At 35.6% G+C, this 18,749-nt stretch overlaps 2 protein-coding genes across 25 annotated transcripts in view; one reads left to right on the forward strand and one right to left on the reverse strand.

Annotated features, from left to right (window-relative positions):
• MED12L (mediator complex subunit 12L) overlaps nucleotides 1-18,749 on the forward strand; it is a 350,990-nt gene that overhangs the window by 273,505 nt on the left and 58,736 nt on the right. For 14 of the 24 annotated variants that reach the window (XM_017005676.2, NM_001393769.1, XM_017005678.2 and 11 more), the window contains 10 exons: nucleotides 1,306-1,437; nucleotides 5,811-6,038; nucleotides 6,682-6,823; nucleotides 8,478-8,598; nucleotides 8,982-9,083; nucleotides 10,268-10,381; nucleotides 13,399-13,598; nucleotides 16,858-17,046; nucleotides 17,632-17,706; nucleotides 17,823-18,010. In XM_017005676.2, coding sequence (XP_016861165.1) covers nucleotides 1,306-1,437; nucleotides 5,811-6,038; nucleotides 6,682-6,823; nucleotides 8,478-8,598; nucleotides 8,982-9,083; nucleotides 10,268-10,381; nucleotides 13,399-13,598; nucleotides 16,858-17,046; nucleotides 17,632-17,706; nucleotides 17,823-18,010 — 1,491 coding nt within the window. Of the gene's footprint in view, nucleotides 1-1,305; nucleotides 1,438-5,810; nucleotides 6,039-6,681; nucleotides 6,824-8,477; nucleotides 8,599-8,981; nucleotides 9,084-10,267; nucleotides 10,382-12,897; nucleotides 13,021-13,398; nucleotides 13,599-16,857; nucleotides 17,047-17,631; nucleotides 17,707-17,822; nucleotides 18,011-18,749 lie in introns of those variants that run through there. The other 10 variants (XM_017005677.2, XM_047447405.1, XM_047447406.1 and 7 more) reach the window with 2 other exon arrangements.
• Nucleotides 1-18,749, reverse strand: part of P2RY12 (purinergic receptor P2Y12) — a 47,911-nt gene that overhangs the window by 22,326 nt on the left and 6,836 nt on the right. The window lies entirely within an intron of this gene.

Genomic DNA, 18,749 nt, shown 5'->3' on the forward strand with positions numbered 1-18,749 from the left:
AGAATATGTGCTTGGCTTTCTGTTTCTGCATTAGTTTGCTTAGGATAATGGCCTGCAGCTACATCTATATTGCTGCAAAGAGCATGATTTTGTTCTTTTTTATGGCTGCATAGTTTTTGGTTTGCTTGTTTATATAGTTAACAGGTTGAATCATTACTTTTCTTCTTAATTGTGTGACACTTTTGTTCTAATTGGCAGCTTTTACCTGCTGCTAGGTAGTCCCATCTGTTGATGTCATTTCACAGGGTTTGGGATACTACATTGCCATTTCCTCAAGAAGTCTCCTTGGTTCCACCTATGGTACCTGTGATTCCATTGTCCTCCTTGGCCTAGACATCCTATGTTCTCTCCACTTTGCCCTTTCCCCTGAATAGTACAGAGGAGTTTGATCTGGGAGTCTGGAAACCTAAGCTGTTGTCTTGCTTCTGCTAGAACTAGCTCTTTGCCTTTGAGCAAGTCACCCCACCTTTCTGCCTCTCAGAGCCTCCTTTATACAATAAGGATGGTGAATCAGATAGTTTCTAAAGCTTTTTTCGTCTTTAATAATCTGTCATCTGTGACTCCGTTAGTGTAATATAATGGCTGAGCCCTGTAACAAAATACAAGATGGTGATGGAATCAGATGCACAGATAGGTGAATGGACCACAAGTGTTTACAGCTGTGGTGTATGGACTTCTGTGTTGTATGGACTGTGGACAAAGAGGCCTATAACTACAGGAGTTATACAGAATATTACAAAACAGAAGGGGCTTTATCTTCTTATATAAGATAAACTAAAATAAATTTATTACTAGTTGGTATACATAGGGGAATGTATACATGCATAAGGGGAATGTGACTCCAAACCATGAACTGCTTATGCACTTGAAAATGGGTTTTCCAGATTGACTGCTTTGAAGCATTGCTCCTTTACAAAGGAGAAAACTTGGGAATCTTTGCACGCTGATGGAATTTGTGAATCTGCGGAGGCAGGGGCTCTCTACAACAGTTTTCCTTTTGTGTCTCAGTCCCAGCAACTTAATCGGTGGATTCCTCCATACGTACCTTCTTTATGAAGGAATTTCTTTCCTTGCTTTTGTTTCTTGTCATCAGTGACATTTCTGAAGTTTTTTTTAAAATCTATTTCAGTGTCATAATAGAAAAATTATATTGTACTGAGTTATTTACTATTCTATTTATTAGTTTCAACAATCCAATATCCTTTTTCTTACCCAAGTGATACATATTTTCATTCTAAAAGAGTCAAATGATAACCCACATAGTACAAATCTATGTCTTATTTCTTCGTATATTTTTCTCCTCAGGTTGTGTGGTGTGGTCAAGCATGTCGTAAACCCCTCAGAATGTTCTTCCCCTGAAAGATGCATTTTAGCCTACCTCTATGATCTCTATGTGTCATGTAGCCACCTCAGAAGTAAATTTGGAGACCTCTTCAGGTGAGTAGAAGAGACTCAAAAGGACAGAAATAGGATCATGCCTATGTTTGTTAGTGACCCTGACAATATTGTCATCCTTTTGAATAATGAAAGCTAATTGCAATTGTATCTATTAGGCAGTAATTTTGATATACTCATGATTTGTTTAAACTGAATATTAAAATAGACAGGGACAATACACGATAGTCTATTACACAATGTAAATGTGTGATCATAGGTTTTTTTTCCCCCAATATTGAAATGATGTTAGGTCTGATTTTATTTCTTCAATAAATAAAGTATTTCTTAAGATTTTACATTTTCTATATGTTGTACAGACAGTGCATTTTAAGTAAGTCCTACTGAAGTAATGATTATTTGATATATCTTTCCATTTTAAGTTTAAAATTCAATTTGGATTATAAATCTAATAGAAAGATCAATGAGGCAGCTCTTTGTATTTTGCTTTATTTGTATCCCTCTTGATTTTGATATCTACCTTTTCTGAGCTGACTTTTTGCATTACTTGGATTAGCTTTAATATCCTTTGGGCATTACAGTGTTTCATTTTTTATTTCCTGGTGACTCATAGAAGGTTCTATAGCCCCATTCACTTTTCTAGAACTTTTTCAGACTGTGTTTACTTTTCCTCTTTTTTCACAAAAACAATTTTGCTGTTTAGCAGGTAACTTTTTCATGTGTTAATGAGTTTTTTTAAAATGACCAGTACCCTCACTGAATAACATTAAATCAATGTGCATTAAAAGTAGGAAACCTGGTTTCTATTACAGATTGTATTAGATTCAGGTTCAGCTTGATAAATGCTATCTAATGTTTCCTGGTATGAAAAAAATAGAACTGAATTAATCATAAAAAGGTACTGTAAATTCTGCAGTTAACCTACTTGCTATCTTAGACTTAAAATTCATGACCTGATAATGATAGTAGTATTTGATTCCTGTCAATACATCTTATTGCTGAAGGAATATTTTATTGTTTAATGAGTCCAGAAAGTTGTATTTTTATAAATATTTTTATTTTCTTAATACTCTTATCCAGAATTTGTATTGAATTATTTTTGGCTGTAGCTATAACCTTTATTACAAATTACTGTAAGTGTGAGAGACAATATTCTGTGCTTTGCTCTTGAAATCACCCCACTCAGAACATTCTTTCAGAGCTATTTGCATGCTGACTTCTTCACTCCGTTTGTCTTTCTGCTTCCATGGCCATTCCTACTTCAAATAGCATCCCCAACTTCCTGTCATTCGTTGTATCTTAGCACTTGCTACCCCCACAGGCAGCACTAGGGCTGGAAAGTAAATGCTTATTTAATGTTATTTTGAGGACAATTATTTACTATAGATGGGTAGGAGGAGAGTGGTAGAAGGTAATAGCTAAGAAAACAAATTTGGAATCCAGAAGGAGGTAGGGAAAGGATGTTCAACTACCATTTTTTTTCCTTTGTCATACCTCGTATCCAGTTTGTAAATTCTGTGATCTCTGCCTTCCAAGCATCTCTAGAACCTGCCCATTCTTCACCCTCTCTTTACCGCTGTGGATACCTCTGCTTGGACCATTGCAGAGTTCTTCTAACTGGTTTCCTTGCTTCCACCCTTAACTCTAAAACACATTTTCAACATCCACTAAAGTGATCCTTTTAATATACGAATGATTCACAGGCTTTCAGTGATTTTCCACCCACTCAGAATAAAATTCACCATCCCTACCTAGCCTTCAAGATCTGCAGGGTCCCATCTTCTCTTCCACCCCTTTCCCTCTGTTTATTGTGGCCACACAGACCTCTTTACTGATCAAACACTCTAAGAACAACCCACAGTAGGGCTTTTGCACTTTATCTTACGTTGCTTGTGATACTTGTCCTCAGTTACTTGTGTGCCCCACTCCCACACTTCACTCACGACTGTCTCCCTGAGCACACCATTTTAAATAGCACCCCCATGTCATCATTCTGAGCCTCAGCACTTGCTACCCCCACTGTAGATTCTATATTTATTTATGGCCTGGCTCCTCCTTAGAATGTATGCTTCATGACAGCAGAAGCTTTTTCTATTTTTTTCACTGCTACATCCCAGTGTCTTGAAGAGTATGTGGCTCTTAGTAGGCACTGAAAAAAAAATCTGTTGAATGATAGTTATATCTAAGACAATTCATGTTTTTAATGGTATTAATAAAGTGTGAAAATATGAAATGGGTTAGGTTTCAAAATAATCCTTTGTGAAATATTTGAGTGGGTCTTAGGAAATATCTTTCCACAGAAATTGTGTCACAATTTAAAAATACTTAACATTCTTCTCTTACTTTACATAGAGCTTTCCATTTCAGCTTACATTTTTCAAAGAGCTTTCTCTTACATGATTTAGTTCTTACAGCAGCCGTTTTTTTAATAGTGAACTTCCTCAGACAGCCCCAGTAGCCTATTTGACCCTTAATACTCCTGCAGTGTGGTGCAAATAGGTTAAATGAGGTAATTCAAGTAACATGCGCTGGGCGTGGGGTGTGTGGAAATTTAGGGTACCAGCACACAGTGAATAGAGTAATTACTCAGGGGTCAGCAGAGTGGCACATCATAGTGATTGGCACTGTCTAAAGTTTCCTCTATTTGAAAAAATGAAAGAGAAATACAACTTTCTTGGGATATCTTGAAGTCAGAGACCTATTTGTAGTTTGAGATGAAGAAAAATGGGCAAACAAAAGCTGGATACACAGAGAGATTTCTATCAGTATGCTGATAAAACAACTTTAATAATTTTATCTGAACCACCATTCATAAAGTTGTGTGAGAGGAGTATTTTTTTCTGAAACACCATTCACACAGTTGTGTGAGAGGAGTATTTGGGGGAGATACAACACTGGTCACCTCTACCACTGATTGAGCTACTGCTGTGTGCCAAGCACTGTGCTGGGTTATTTCCATCAAGAGCTTTATTTCTCACATCAACCTCAAGAAACTGAAAATGTCATGACTCTGAATTGCAAACTTGTATCCTTCAATGACAACCAACACATTTTTTAAAATATAAGTTGTCTACACAGAAAGAGAGTGTAGAAGATTGTAATTGCTGCCATTTAGTAGATGACTTTAGTCCTCTTTGTTAGAGTAGTGCTTCCCAAGCATTACTTGGCACTTGATTTATGTGGGAGATCTTGTTACACATACGGACTCTATACACCCACAGTGGAGGCCCAGGATTCTATATTTTTAACAAACACCCCAAAAGTGATTCTCAAGGAATAGAGCTGAAACTACATTTTGGTAAACATTGAACTGAACAATCTCTGTTTTCTTAAAGCTATTGACAGTGGCAATAGTTTAGAATAGAGAGTCTTTGTGACTTTTCATCTTCGAGGGACTCATTCCTGGCTGCCATTGATGCAAGTATATAACAATATGGGGTTTAAAAAAAAAGCCATAGGTCACCACAAACCACAAATACTTTTGCTGCCAAAAACTTAATCTATAAAACAGACTTTCTGATGCATAAAAGAGCTTTTGAGTAGAGAGAGTGAATGTTGTTTATGGATATGCTACCTACAGAAGGTAAGCACAAATGGCTAAGTTTATATAGAATCTGAGATTTTACATCAAATCTTTCTGCCAGTCTCATTCACAGAGCAGGTTTGGAGGAGATAGGTTCTAATTCCTGTTATACTTCTAGTAGTCTATATCTGATTCAGACGTAACTCACTGAAACATGAGCTGTTTTTATATGATAGAGCAGGCTCTTTAAAAATCTCTTAATGCCTCTGAGAAATACAACATGATAAGTTTTTATGAATGATATAATAGTTTTTTCACTTCCATAGAATTTGTGTATTATCCATATCCCCTTACTAGAATGTAAGTTCATTGAAGACAAGGAATGTGCCTCTCTTTTTCACAGCTGTGCCATAGTCTCCAGAATAGTCTTGGCACACGAACTTCTACTGCGTACACTATACCAGAGAAATAGTTTTGTAAGATATGTAATTAAGAGTACTCTTATGTGTAATTGAATCTTTTTTTATTTTTAAGTAATAACACTTTTCAACAACTGTTAAGACACAGTTGTTGGAAGCCATAGTAATTTCTTTGATTTTTAAAGCATGTAAAATGTAGACCATATTTAGGAAATAATTAAGATTTATAACCAAATACTTCATTTCTGTTTTGTTCTTCCACCTATTTAGAAATTATTTATTGAGGAATTTCTACATTCCAAAGTACTTTGATTAGCGCCAATTAGTAAGAAGTTCTAATTAAGAACTCATAATGTGAATCTTCTCTAGGAATGCATTACAGTTCCTGCCATTTAATATGTCCTTAAGTGAAATAGTTTTCTAGTTATTCTAGTTTTATTTTTCTGTTTTAACTTTTTTTCTTATAACCTCAGTAGTGCCTGTTCAAAAGTAAAGCAAACCATATATAATAACGTGATGCCTGCAAATTCGAACTTGCGATGGGATCCAGACTTCATGATGGATTTTATTGAGAATCCCTCAGCCCGCAGCATCAACTACTCAATGCTGGGCAAGATCCTCAGTGACAATGCGGCCAATCGCTACAGCTTTGTCTGCAATACACTCATGAATGTATGTATGGGCCATCAGGATGCTGGCAGGTGAGATGGGTTACCCTGGAATTCATGATTAACCAAAGAGTTGTTGCCTTGGTGCTTCTTTGAAATTGATGTCGTTAGTAAGTGTCTGGACTCACATTTGGCTATCATTTGCTTTTTCTAAATCTTCTTTTATTCCTTAATTTACCTCTGCACTATCTTTTAATTTCCTTAACCTGAGAGACAGTGCTTTCTTATTTATTACTCTGGCATGAGATGTTTTCAATATGGCCAACAATTACATGATTTATTTTCAAAAACATATAATAAAAATATAAATAAGAATGCCTGTATTTTGAAAAAAACCGTATTTGGGTCCACCTAAATTACATGATGTCTATAAATTTTTTGATGCCCTTAAAAATGTAAATCGTAGCTCAGATTTATTCACGAAACTAAAAATATTCTAATTCGTGTATGTACTGATTATTGTTTGTTGCTTAACAGCATTGTCAAAAATATTTGAAGCCATTGTTATCTTCTTCTCAAGGTTCTACTAAGTTATTTGACAAATGAGTATTTTATCTGTGAATCTAAGAAAATGACTTGTTTGATGTTAGTGAAATATATGTTAATTAAGTATATCACAGGTGAGTATTTCTCTTTTGTACAAGGTTACTTTCTGTGTCTTCTTTTTCTTTTCTAGGATTAACGACATAGCCAATTTCTCCTCTGAGCTTACGGCTTGCTGCACTGTTCTTAGTTCAGAATGGCTGGGGGTTCTGAAGGCTCTTTGTTGTTCTTCAAATCACGTGTGGGGGTTTAATGATGTACTTTGCACTGTAGATGTAAGTTTTCTTTTTCATTTAAAAATTGAACTGTGCAATTAAATATTTAGTTAGTGGGTAATCTTTTTGCTTTTGGCTTTTATTTAATTGATTCAACTGAAATGTTATAAAATATTTTTTCTTTCTCTGTCCAAAAGCAGTAAACCACAATGACATTGCCAGGGATTAAATACATGAAAAAAAATAGAAATAAATAGAATGCATAGTTTAATCTGTAGCAGAGGGGCCAAGAATTTCTTTGTTTCCTGAAATTTCCATTTAGTTGAGATTTCTTCCATATGGATGGTCTCTTCAGAGCTGTTTTTTCTTTTTACCAACTGCCCTGGATTCCTCACAGCATGGGACATAATCTAACTAAAGCAGTTCACATTCTGAAGAAGGCCACTTTGATATTTTTAAGTGCAAGGCGCAGTATACAAATAAAGGCTTTGTTGGGTTACATAAGAATGTCCAGGTCTAGATTCCGAGGATGTCCGGTGTTTTTTGGCAATTAATGCCTGGAAGATGATGAAAAGATACCCCTTGTATATATCACTGACTTCCTTGGATATCATGTTGCATCCATGATGTGTGTATTTCTTTAAAAATCTGTCTTGATTCTTTACTTCTCCTGTTGCCACTTATTGGAGTAGTCTTTGTCGTACACTAGTATCTCTTATGCATAGTTCTTTATACATCTTTACACCTGCCTCTCAGTTGAAGGTTGACTTCTGAATTCTGCTAATCAGGACTGGTTGGATAATCCTATCTCTATATCTTCATTATATGAAGACTTAAGAATTTATGTATATAAAATTCATAGATGTGGCCTGCTTTTCTGGACAGAAGAGACTTAAATTTTTATCTTTAATATAGTTTCTTAATCTCTTAGTTGTTTTTTTAAATTACACTTTACCTTCTGCAATTCCTCATCTAAAAAATTGGAATTAATAATAGTGTGAACCTTATGGTGGTGTGCTAATAAATAAGGTGATTTTTGCAAGTTAACCATAGTCCTTGGCATATGGTGCGAATCAGTATGAAGATTGCTATTGTAGTTGTTTTTCTTATTATTTTCTGCCAAGGTCACGTGAGATCTAGAAAGGTAAAGATTTCACTGTGACTGAATTAATTTCCCCCTCTGTCCTTTTTCTTCTTTTTAAATTTAAGAGTCAATTGGAAACTTTCAGAGTTGTTTTTAAAACGAGTTTAATCATTAAAGAATCCTTAGTAGTTACCACTGAAAGGAACTCCAAAACCTTAGTGAGGCTTGTTTTTCAACTAGGGGGAGCCTCCTGGTTTTTCCCTGCCTTCTAATTGTCTGACTCTTAAATGGTATATCTTGTTGCAGTCTGCCAAAATGTTTTAATGATGTTACATCTTGTAGTGATTTCCTGATTTTCCATTTTTGTTGTTGTGTTTTTCATTTGCATGTATGCAAGTCAAAGCTCAGTATTTTCTTACAGCATTGGAATGTGGGTAAACCTCATTCATTGTTTTATAAAATAGAAATAGGCCTAGAGGATAATCATCATGATATGTTATCATTTCCCTCTGCTGGTTCATGTTGGGATTTGAGATCTTATTGGTATTGCCTGCATTCTCTTAGTTATTAATCTTAGATACTGCTTACAAGGTTGTTAGGTATTAAAACCTGTCAATGTTTTTCTTGAAGGTGAGTGACCTTTCATTCCATGATTCATTAGCTACTTTCATTGCTATTCTGATAGCACGACAGTGTTTTTCCCTGGAGGACGTCGTGCAGCATGTCGCACTTCCCTCTCTTCTAGCAGCAGGTAAGGCAGCATCCATGAACATCCGTTGCTCTTTGATTGTTGTCTTGATGGAGTGGTTTCTAACATTACAACACAGGGAAAGGAGTATTTGAGGGTATGTATATTGGGAAGTGGTGTAGTATCAAGGTAGATATGGTAGAATTTTAATAGTTATTTTATACAAATTAACATGTATCACCGTGAAAAAGGTGGGAAACTGCTATGTTACAGTCTGTTTTAAGGAAGCACCAAGATTTCTCAGAAAAATAGCCAGGGCCTTATTTTCTTACCATAAGGAAAATTTATTTAAATAATTATTCCAGGAAATTTAGCTTAATAGGAAACCTGAAGGACTTGTTCCCAAGTGTGTTAGAAAACTTGCTTTTCCAATCCCCCTTTCCTAGCTTGTGGGGATGCGGACGCCGAGCCTGGGGCGAGAATGACATGCCGACTCTTGCTTCATCTCTTCCGAGCTCCCCAGGCCTGCTTCTTACCTCAAGCAACGGGTGAGCTGACTGCAGAAAAATCTGATTACCTTTTCATTGGTAGCTAAAGTTTCTAAAATGACCAAATAGGCTGTCCCTTTCTGTAATTGCCTTCTTAATTTTTTGGGCATGCCCTGGGGGTGATGAAGGGTGAGATGATACTATTCATTGAGAGGGCTGTCAGCACCTTTTATCTGTGTAATATCAGGATATATTGAGAAATACGAATCAAGAGTTAGTAAGCAATAAAAATACCTCTGCTCTTAGGCCAAGCCATGCTGGTGGGCAGCATGGTCCTCTCACGTACTGTGTGTGTTGGTTCTGAACCACATCACAGCAGCTTAGGGCAATGGTGATTTATTTTATTTTATTTTATTTTATTTTATTTTATTTTATTTTATTTCATTTCATTTCATTTCATTTCATTTCATTTCATTTCATTTCATGTCATTTCATTTTATTTCATTTCATTTCATTTCATTTCATTTCATTTCATTTCATTTCATTTCATTTCATTTCATGTCATTTCATTTTTTTTTTTTTTTTTCCAAGACAAAGTCTTACTGTGTCACCCAGGCTGGAGTACAGTGGTGTGATCTCGGCTCACTGCAACCTCTGCCTCCCGGGCTTAGGCAATTCTCTTGCCTCAGCCTCTCAAGTAGCTGGGACTATAGGCATGCACCACCATGCCTGGCAAATTTTTGTATTTTTAGTAGAGATGGGGATTTCACTGTGTTGGCCAGACTGGTCTTGAACTCCTGACCTCGTGATCCACCTGCCTCGGCCTCCCAAAGTGCTGGGATTACAGGCGTGAGCCACCGCACCCATCCCTCATTTATTCTTGTACTAAGTAAAAGGAATAAAGTAAGAATTTTAGGGGCGTTGGTGAAGTCTGCTCCTAAAGATCATTTCCATATAGATAGGCATGTGTCTGTGTGAGAATCAACACAAATATGTGAAGGTCCTACTAATCTTGTTGATGTAGCTCTCTGAGGAGGAACGACATTGTTTTAATAAATAAAAAGAAAAGGATAAGTGAGGAATACTGGCCATGTTTCTTAGTGAATCCATGAAGCATCAATTAAAGCAAGCTAATGGCAATTAAGCACCCACAGTCTAACAATGAAAGGCTGACTGCCTGTAAATAATTACAAAACATTACTAATGATGGTAATGAGACTATTAAAGATTTGTTGTTTTTGTAGGCAAACCTTTCCCTGGAATAAGATCATCTTGTGATAGACACCTCTTAGCCGCTGCTCACAACAGCATTGAAGTGGGAGCCGTGTTTGCTGTCTTAAAAGCAATTATGATGCTTGGTAAGATTATTCTGACCCTAAGCTTCTTGGTTAATCACCAGAAATGAAGGCAAAATAATTTATTTTCAGGTTTAAATCTAGTAGTATTATTGGAAACATGATACTGTTTGATCGCTTATTCTCCTGGAAAAATTAGTGGTTTCTCCTAGACCAAATACATCAGACTCTGGAAGATCCTGTCCCTTATCTAGTGTCTCTGGGGGAACTTACATGTAATATTTTTTATGGTATTTTAGTTGCATAATGTCTCATTCTGATGTAAAATAGGTCCTCAGACCCACAGGGTTGTTTTGCCTTCTCTGGTGGCAGAAATCACACTTTGTGAGAGACAGGGATGACTTGGTAATCTAACTAAATGTTTACATTTTATCCAGATTATATTTCAGGAGCAGAACACCAGAAAATCTGAGTCTTAATCTTAGTATTTTTGCTCCTATCATGACCCTGAACGAGTATATTTCCTTCTACCTTTGTTTTTTGATGACCCAGGCAATAGTTGCAATGATGTTGATATTATTGATAAATCAATATTAAGTTTCACAATAATTTTTTTCATTTAATTCATAATGTCCAAGATGTTCTTTACATCCTTATTTGTAAGAATTTTCCTGGAATAATAGCACTGCCTTTTCTCTTCATTTACAGGGTAATACATTAAAACATTATTCTGTAAATCTTAAAGGCTTTGAATGATTAGGAAGTCTTCAAGTCAGACTGCCTAATTCCAACTTTGGGTACCTTCTTTTGGTCTTGACTCTTATGTTCAGAAGTAGCTCCCCTTCATTAGAACAGAAATTACTGAGTGGATAGGAATTGCTTTAGATGAGTCCTAAATAACATGTTTTGGGCTATAATCTTGCTCTGCTTTGGAAATGTTATTTGGTGATGATGAGGAAGGATAACAGAATTTTCATAAAACAAGCTATTAAAACTTCACCTTAAGAAAGGATACACACACGGGCCTGTGAATTTTGTAGTAAAAAGGGGAGGTAGAGCCACGTCAAGGACCACAGCCTCCTCTGAGTGTAGGCGCTTATAGATTTATACAGCCAACATTAAGTGCTCATTTCAGTGAGTAGAATTTCCCTACTGTGATCATATTTGAAGGGAAGGTCAGTTGGTCGGTTCTACTTAATAAATAAATGTAGGGACCATAGAGATAGGGACTGGCTTTTTTACCTGTGGTATTTCTAGTGCTCATCAGAGAAGCTAGCAAAGAATCAGTTTTCAATAAAATTATGTTGGAAGTGTGAATCTATAAATGACAAATATGCTAATGGCAGAAACCAAGATGAGTACCTTCTAGACACTGGCCCCATGATTTGTAGGATTAGTCTAATCTCAAGTAGAATTTGCCCACCTCTTCATCCACATAATTTGGAGGATTCCCTGGGTCTAAGAAGTCAGGATCAGGTCAGTTTAACGTCAGCAGAGCTTTGAGCCAGGTGGGCACTGAACGCTCAAATGTATTCTATTGTCAATGCAATTGCAGAAGGCCTGGCACAGACTCTCATACCTTCTCTGTTGTCCTAACATCTAAACTAAATGAGGATCTCCTAGTATGGGGCTAGCAGGTACTGTTTTTTCTCTTTCTTTTCTTTTCCTTTCTTCTCTTTTCTTATTTGCAGAAGCTCTAATTTATCCACCCTACCATGCCCTAACCAACTCTCAATTCCTATCCACCAGGATATATTTTGAGTTAGGGAGATGGGACCATTATATCAAATTTGGTTTTTAATTTCTACAATGTAACTCAAGGTATAGAGGTAGTTGTTTACATCACCTAACGGTAGTGAAAGCATACTACATTTTGGTACTTGCAGAATTTAGTCTTTTCTTTCAGCTCCTGAAGTGATCTATTAAATGAAATCCTGTGGGTAAAGTGAAGCTGGTACTCTTTGTGTTTGTATTTTAATGAGAAACATATGATTATATATTGATAAATTGAAATACATTATTTATTCCTCTCCTCTGCTTAAGATTTTGTTAGTAAATACTCAGTAAGCCATTTTTTTCAGCAAAGTCAAAACTTTTTCTTGGTTGACTTGTGGGTTTTAAAAGGCTTTTTCCATTAACTTGGGCATTGTTTTGCCCACTTGCTGCAAGCAGTGAAGGCCTACTGTAAAAGCATTTGTTGGTTCCAGGAAATTTTCTTGTCAAGGCCTATGATCCTGTGAGTAAAAGGCAAAAGTTTGAAGGCTGTGCTGTCATTTGGCAATCCTTATTTTGAATTTTTATTACTCTCTCACTTTTAAAATATGATAGTTATTTGTCTCTCATGGCTAGAGTTTTCTTATTTCTAGCTATTCAGACATTCTGTTTAGTTTCTTTCCCAGAACTTTGTTATGAAGAAAACACTTTCCTTAGCTTCATTTCACTAAGTATACTAAAGATTTATCAGGTAAGGTTTTCTAATTTGTATGTTACAGAGAGGAAGGTAAAAAAACAGGGGTTATTCAATGAATGCCCTACTTTTCAGGGCTTCCTTAGTATGCATTGCCCTTTTCCATTCCCAGGGAAATAAATCTCTCTTGTCAAGAAGTTGATAGTAAGGTGGGCTAAGGCAAAACTTTTCTCTTGACCTATGGATAGAAAATAAGTCATTGTAAGAGAAGAAATGGAAAAGGGACATCTAGAAGGGTGAGTAACCCATTTTTTCCTTGTCTATAAGTCAAATGAATTTGAATACATTCATGCTTGAAATATTGGTGAAACCAATGTTCTCTGATTACTTAGTGTGATTCATAATGGCCTTTCCAAGTTTGGTGAAACTATAATTATACAAACAAAATAAGGACCGAGTCTTGAACTTGCTTTTTCTCCATTTCTGTTAGAAACTTCTCTGGGTTCATGCATTTATGCTCTTGATCCATTCTCTCTATTCCTGAACAACTGGCTATTCAATAATAATACTGTTCATATATTTTAAATCCCTGAATGCTATCCTCATTTGCTCCTCAATTATTTGGCAATATTTTGAACTTCTGTGATTTTGCTTTTGTGATTCTATTACTTAGGAGATGCCAAAATTGGCAATAACAGTGTCAGCTCTTTAAAGAATGATGACTTCACCATGAGAGGTTTGCGATGTGATGGGAATGCTGATGATATCTGGACTGCCTCACAAAATCCAAAATCCTGTGGGAAAAGCATTTCCATAGAAACTGCCAATTTAAGAGAATACGCTAGATATGTACTGAGGACTATCTGTCAACAGGTATTCTAATTTAATTTGCCTTTTACTTTGAGTACGTAACTCTTCTTTTGGAGAGAGCTACTTACACTTATAGGAAACTTGTGCATAGGTGGGCCTTTTTTTCTTGCTCACTTTATTTCGAAATAATTTTAAGTTTGCTGAAAAGTTGCAAGAATTATTTTTAAAAAACTCATGTCCATCCTTTACACGGATTTACTAATTTTTACATTTTGCTACATGTGCTTTGTAATTTGTATGTGGAGATGTGGGTGCATATACCTATTTTTTCTGAATCATTTAAGAGTAGATTGTATATTTTATTCTTTTGAATATTGCATTATTTCATAACATAACCAAAATATAGCTATTAAACATCAGAAAATTTAGCTTTTGGTACAGTAATTTTTTCTCATCTATAGGCCACAGTTCGATTTTATTAATTGTCCCAGTATTGTTGGATTTGTCTGAGGTTTCCTGTAGATTAGCTTCAGATTATGCATCCCTGGCCAAGATACTACAGAAATAATCTTGAGTTCTTTCAGGTAATCATGTCTGAAGGCATGTGATGTCCATTTGCACCTCAAGGGTGATGTTAATTTTGATTAAGATGTTTCCATTGTATAGTTTCAAGATTAGTAACTATACAGTGGGGACTGTGTAGTTACTAATTTTCCCCTTGCAGTAAGCAATCTTTGAGGAGATACTTCGAGACAGTGCAAATTTTCTTCTCCTTGTTTAACTCCCCCACCCCTCATAAGCATTCATTTTCATTCTTGCCCAGTCTAGTCTTTACTATGATGGTTGCAAAATGGTGGTTTTTTTTTTTCCCCAACTTCTCCTCTCCCTTCATAATATCAGTTTGTGTCCTATTTTAAGGAAGAGCCTGCCCTCCTCTCCCCTGTTTATTTATTATCCATATGGGTTATAATATACTGTACTTAGTTATTTTCATGTTCAGACTGTCCCAGATTTGTGCAGTAGGAATCTATTCATCCTATCACATCATTTGACATTTTAAAAATAGTTGGTATTTTCATAGTTTCTGGCCCATGTTGTACTTTCTCTGCCCCGGGCCTGGAATCAACTATTCCTCCAAGGAGCCCTTGGTTCTATTTAGCAGAGAACGTTACTGAGAAACCAAGATCTGGGTATTATGTATGCTCATGGTTATGGAGTATCATTAATTCTACGACCTGTCTGCAGACAAAGCTAGAAAGAAAAATATATCCATACACTTAAATATATGTAAATATATATATTTATGAGGTCCTACTGATACCTTCAATTCCAATCCAACCCCACAAAGTTGTTCTGTGTTTTCCCCTAATTCATATTAGTATCACCTTCTTCCCTAGTAAGAATGCTGATTCCCAAAAACGTCAATTTACTTGTTTGTTTAATTCTATGATACATCTGAAATAGTTTTAAAATGTTACACATGGCCGGGCATGTTAAATGTGCTATCCAGCGCTTTGTCAAAAAATGATTAATTAAAATACAGTATCAAAAATGTACACTAGGCTAGGGCGCAGCGGCTCAAGCCTGTAATCCCAGCACTTTGGGAGGCTGAGGCAGGTGGATCACTTGAGGCCAGGAGTTTGAGACCAGCCTGGCCAACATGGTGAAACCCCATCTCTACTAAAAATACAAAAATTAGCCAGGTGTGGTGGCACATGCCTGTCATCCCAGCTACTTGGGAGGCTGAGGCATGAGAATCGCTTGAAACTGGGAGGCGGAGGTTGCAGTGAGCCGAGATTGCGCCACTGCACTCCAGCCCTGGTAAGAGAGCAAGACTCTGTCTCAAAGAAAGAAAGAAAGAAAGAAAGAAATGTTACACACATACCACTAGGAAGAACAAACCTACCTAAAAGGCTTTGAAGATTTGTTTGCAATTCCATTTTCTCTAAGGGTTTAAAATACTGTGTTCAAAAATTATTTGAACTTTTCCCATCCCTATGAGTGTATTCTTTATGTGAAATAGAACTAGGTTCATTTGGTTTTGCATTATTTAAATTCCTTTCTTGTCCCCAGCTCTGGCTATAGAATAGCTTACTTTCAAAAGTGAAACTATACAAAAAAGTATACTCAGAGATGTGTCTCCCTCCCATATCCCTCTTACCAGATGATCCAGTTTTATTATTTTTTGGTTTATTCTCCCTCCCATATATTTGTTTTAAAAGTTCTCTTATAAAAAAAAAGTGACATACCTTATATATTATTTTGTACTTTGCTATAGGTGTCATACCGACTGGGTCATGTTTTTGTATTTTTACAGGCATGTTATAACTATGGTAAAAGATAGCTACATAGTCATATAAGTATTGAGAGGCAATTGTGTGTTGGTTCCCAACTGTGAGTGCATATTGGAATCAGCTGGGGCATTTAAAACAATTTGGATGCCTAAAAAATTACTGATATTTGGGTGCCACCACCTGAGTTTGACTTAATTAGTCTGATGTGGGCCCTGGGCATGGAATTTTATAAAGATCCCAGGTAATTTTAGTGGGCAACCAGCATTGAGCCACTGGTATGGTGGTTAAAAAACAGACTTCACCCGAAATAGATCTGGGTTCAAATTGGGCTCTGTTACTGTTGATGATTTCTTACTTTATTTAGTATAATAATTTGCCTTTGAAAAAAATGGTAAAGAAAAGGCAATAGGAGTTTAAATTGGTAGAAACTCTTCAGAGGGTCATTAACCCCATGCATCTATAGCCCCCCACTCACACTGGACCCAGCAATTGCACTTCTATGAAATTACCCTAAGAAAATTATTGTATAAAAAAGAGATGTGCACTACTACTCATTTATAATGATAACATTATTCATAATAGTATCAAAAAGGAAGATCGTTTTCTAAATATTTGTTATACTATGTTGTATCTAGTCAGTGAGATAGTACAATGTATTCCATAAAAATTATGAAGAACGTATATCTGATAGAATCATTATATAGCAAGTTAGAAAAAACTGACACAAAATAGTGCCTAGAGCAAGACCTTACTTTCCAGTTAAAAACATACTAATATTCTCTTTATTGTCTTTTCTTTTTTCCCATTAAAAAATGTTTTTAAGCAAGTTCTACTTTGTATTTTTTAGAAGCCAAAATGCTAAAAATTTTGTTTTTTAAAATTTTTCTACCTACTTTTTAATGTAATTTTTTAAATTGGAAAATTCCTATCAGTTTTCTATTCAATTATGCACTGTGGATTTAGTACATATTGCATATATATATACCGAAAGCCAGTGCCTGTCAATCTAATTGCCATATTATTTTTAGGAATGGGTAGGAGAGCATTGCTTAAAAGAACCTGAAAGATTATGTACAGACAAAGAACTTATATTGGACCCTGTGCTTTCAAATATGCAAGCACAGAAATTACTGCAGCTTATCTGTTATCCTCATGGCATTAAAGAATGTACCGAGGGGGACAATCTGCAAAGACAGCACATTAAGCGTATTCTTCAGGTCAGTCGTATACAGATTGTGTTTCTGTCATTTGATAAATTCTTCGTAATAATAAAAAGAGTTACTTCCTCTCTTTTTTTGTCCTTGCTAATTTGTGATTTCAATTCTGATTTTTATTCCCACACATTTTCTGTGGAATTGACATACTTTATTTTTGGGTGGATGTACATGCTGCAAATTGTATATGATCATCAAACAAATATTGATATTTTAAATCAGTATTGTATTTACATGAGAAATATGCTTCAGAGAGGGGCTATGTTAAATATATTATTAAAGAAATATTGAAATCATTTTGGATTGGGATTGGTTAAATAGATTTTGAAAGGAGAAATGCTTATTTAGTTTCAGTGCATAGCTGAGTCAGGCACAGTATTAACTAATTAATAATTAATGTTTCTGTTTATTGGTTTGTATCGCTACTGAATATATATGCAGCAAGATTGGGAACCTTTTGACTCATATAAATTATTTCATTGTGTATGATTATTCTGCTCTTTCTTGAGAGAAGGAGTACTGTAAGAAATTACTGTATTTTAACACATTTGATACCCATAATGTTTTAATTCTTTCCATTTTTCCCAGAATCTTGAGCAGTGGACACTGAGGCAATCCTGGTTAGAACTCCAGCTAATGATCAAACAGTGCTTGAAGGACCCTGTGAGTTTATATTGAAAGCTTATCTCTGTATGAAATTTTATAAAAAGCAAAAACACGTTGATGTTTGAGGATAAAGGAATACACATATGTGCCAGTATTCTTATATCTAACTCTAGGGCTCTGGTTCTGTGGCCGAAATGAACAACTTACTGGACAATATTGCAAAGGCAACAATAGAGGTATTCCAGCAGTCTGCAGACCTAAATAATTCTTCTAATTCTGGCATGAGCCTCTTCAACCCAAACAGTATTGGAAGTGCTGATACAAGTAGCACGAGACAGAATGGAATAAAGACATTCCTAAGGTATTTTTGTCTGTTGTTTTATTGAACTGTCATGAATTTTTCACAAGTAACGGTAAATTTTGTGTAGCACAGTGATTTTTCTTTAAGTCATAGGAATGTGAAGAACATAGTTACTTGTAAGCAGGGATTATTATTAATAAGTTAATGAGTAAAGCTGGGGTGAATGATAGCTTCGGAATATTTGATTGAGTAGGCTTAAACACCTTGAAACTGCAGGTGAACTCAGGTTTGGTTCATGCTTTCAGTGTCCCTTAGTCTACTGTGTTACGTAGTATTCATTATATGGGAAACGCTTTTTCCACCATTTTTATTAATTAATTATTTTGCACAAATATATCCTGGTAATTTTTGTGCAGAATTAGAACCAGTAGGCATATAAAGTCTTAAAGTAATTATTTAATCATGAAAGGCTGATTTGTATTTCATCATTTTGGTATAAAGTATAACTAGCGAATTTTAAACCTTAAAAATTAGCTATTAGTATGCTTACATATAATATTTCATATTGTAACTGTGACAGAAAAGTATATTGTTTGTTGGACAAAGTGATTGTTTTTAATTAGAGAGAGGGGGTCATCGGAAAACATTAAAGTCAGTTTAGTTACAATATCCTTCCAGAACTGCATGTTTTATTGCTTTCTGTAGGCTTAGGTGGAAAGCTCATGCAAATGTCTAGTGTTCGGAAAAAGGAAAGATAATACAGAAATAAAAGGGAAATTTTAGAACAGTCTGTGTGTCT

The sequence above is a fragment of the Homo sapiens genome, chromosome 3 (genome assembly GCF_000001405.40).
Source record: "Homo sapiens chromosome 3, GRCh38.p14 Primary Assembly".
NCBI lineage: Eukaryota > Metazoa > Chordata > Mammalia > Primates > Hominidae > Homo > Homo sapiens.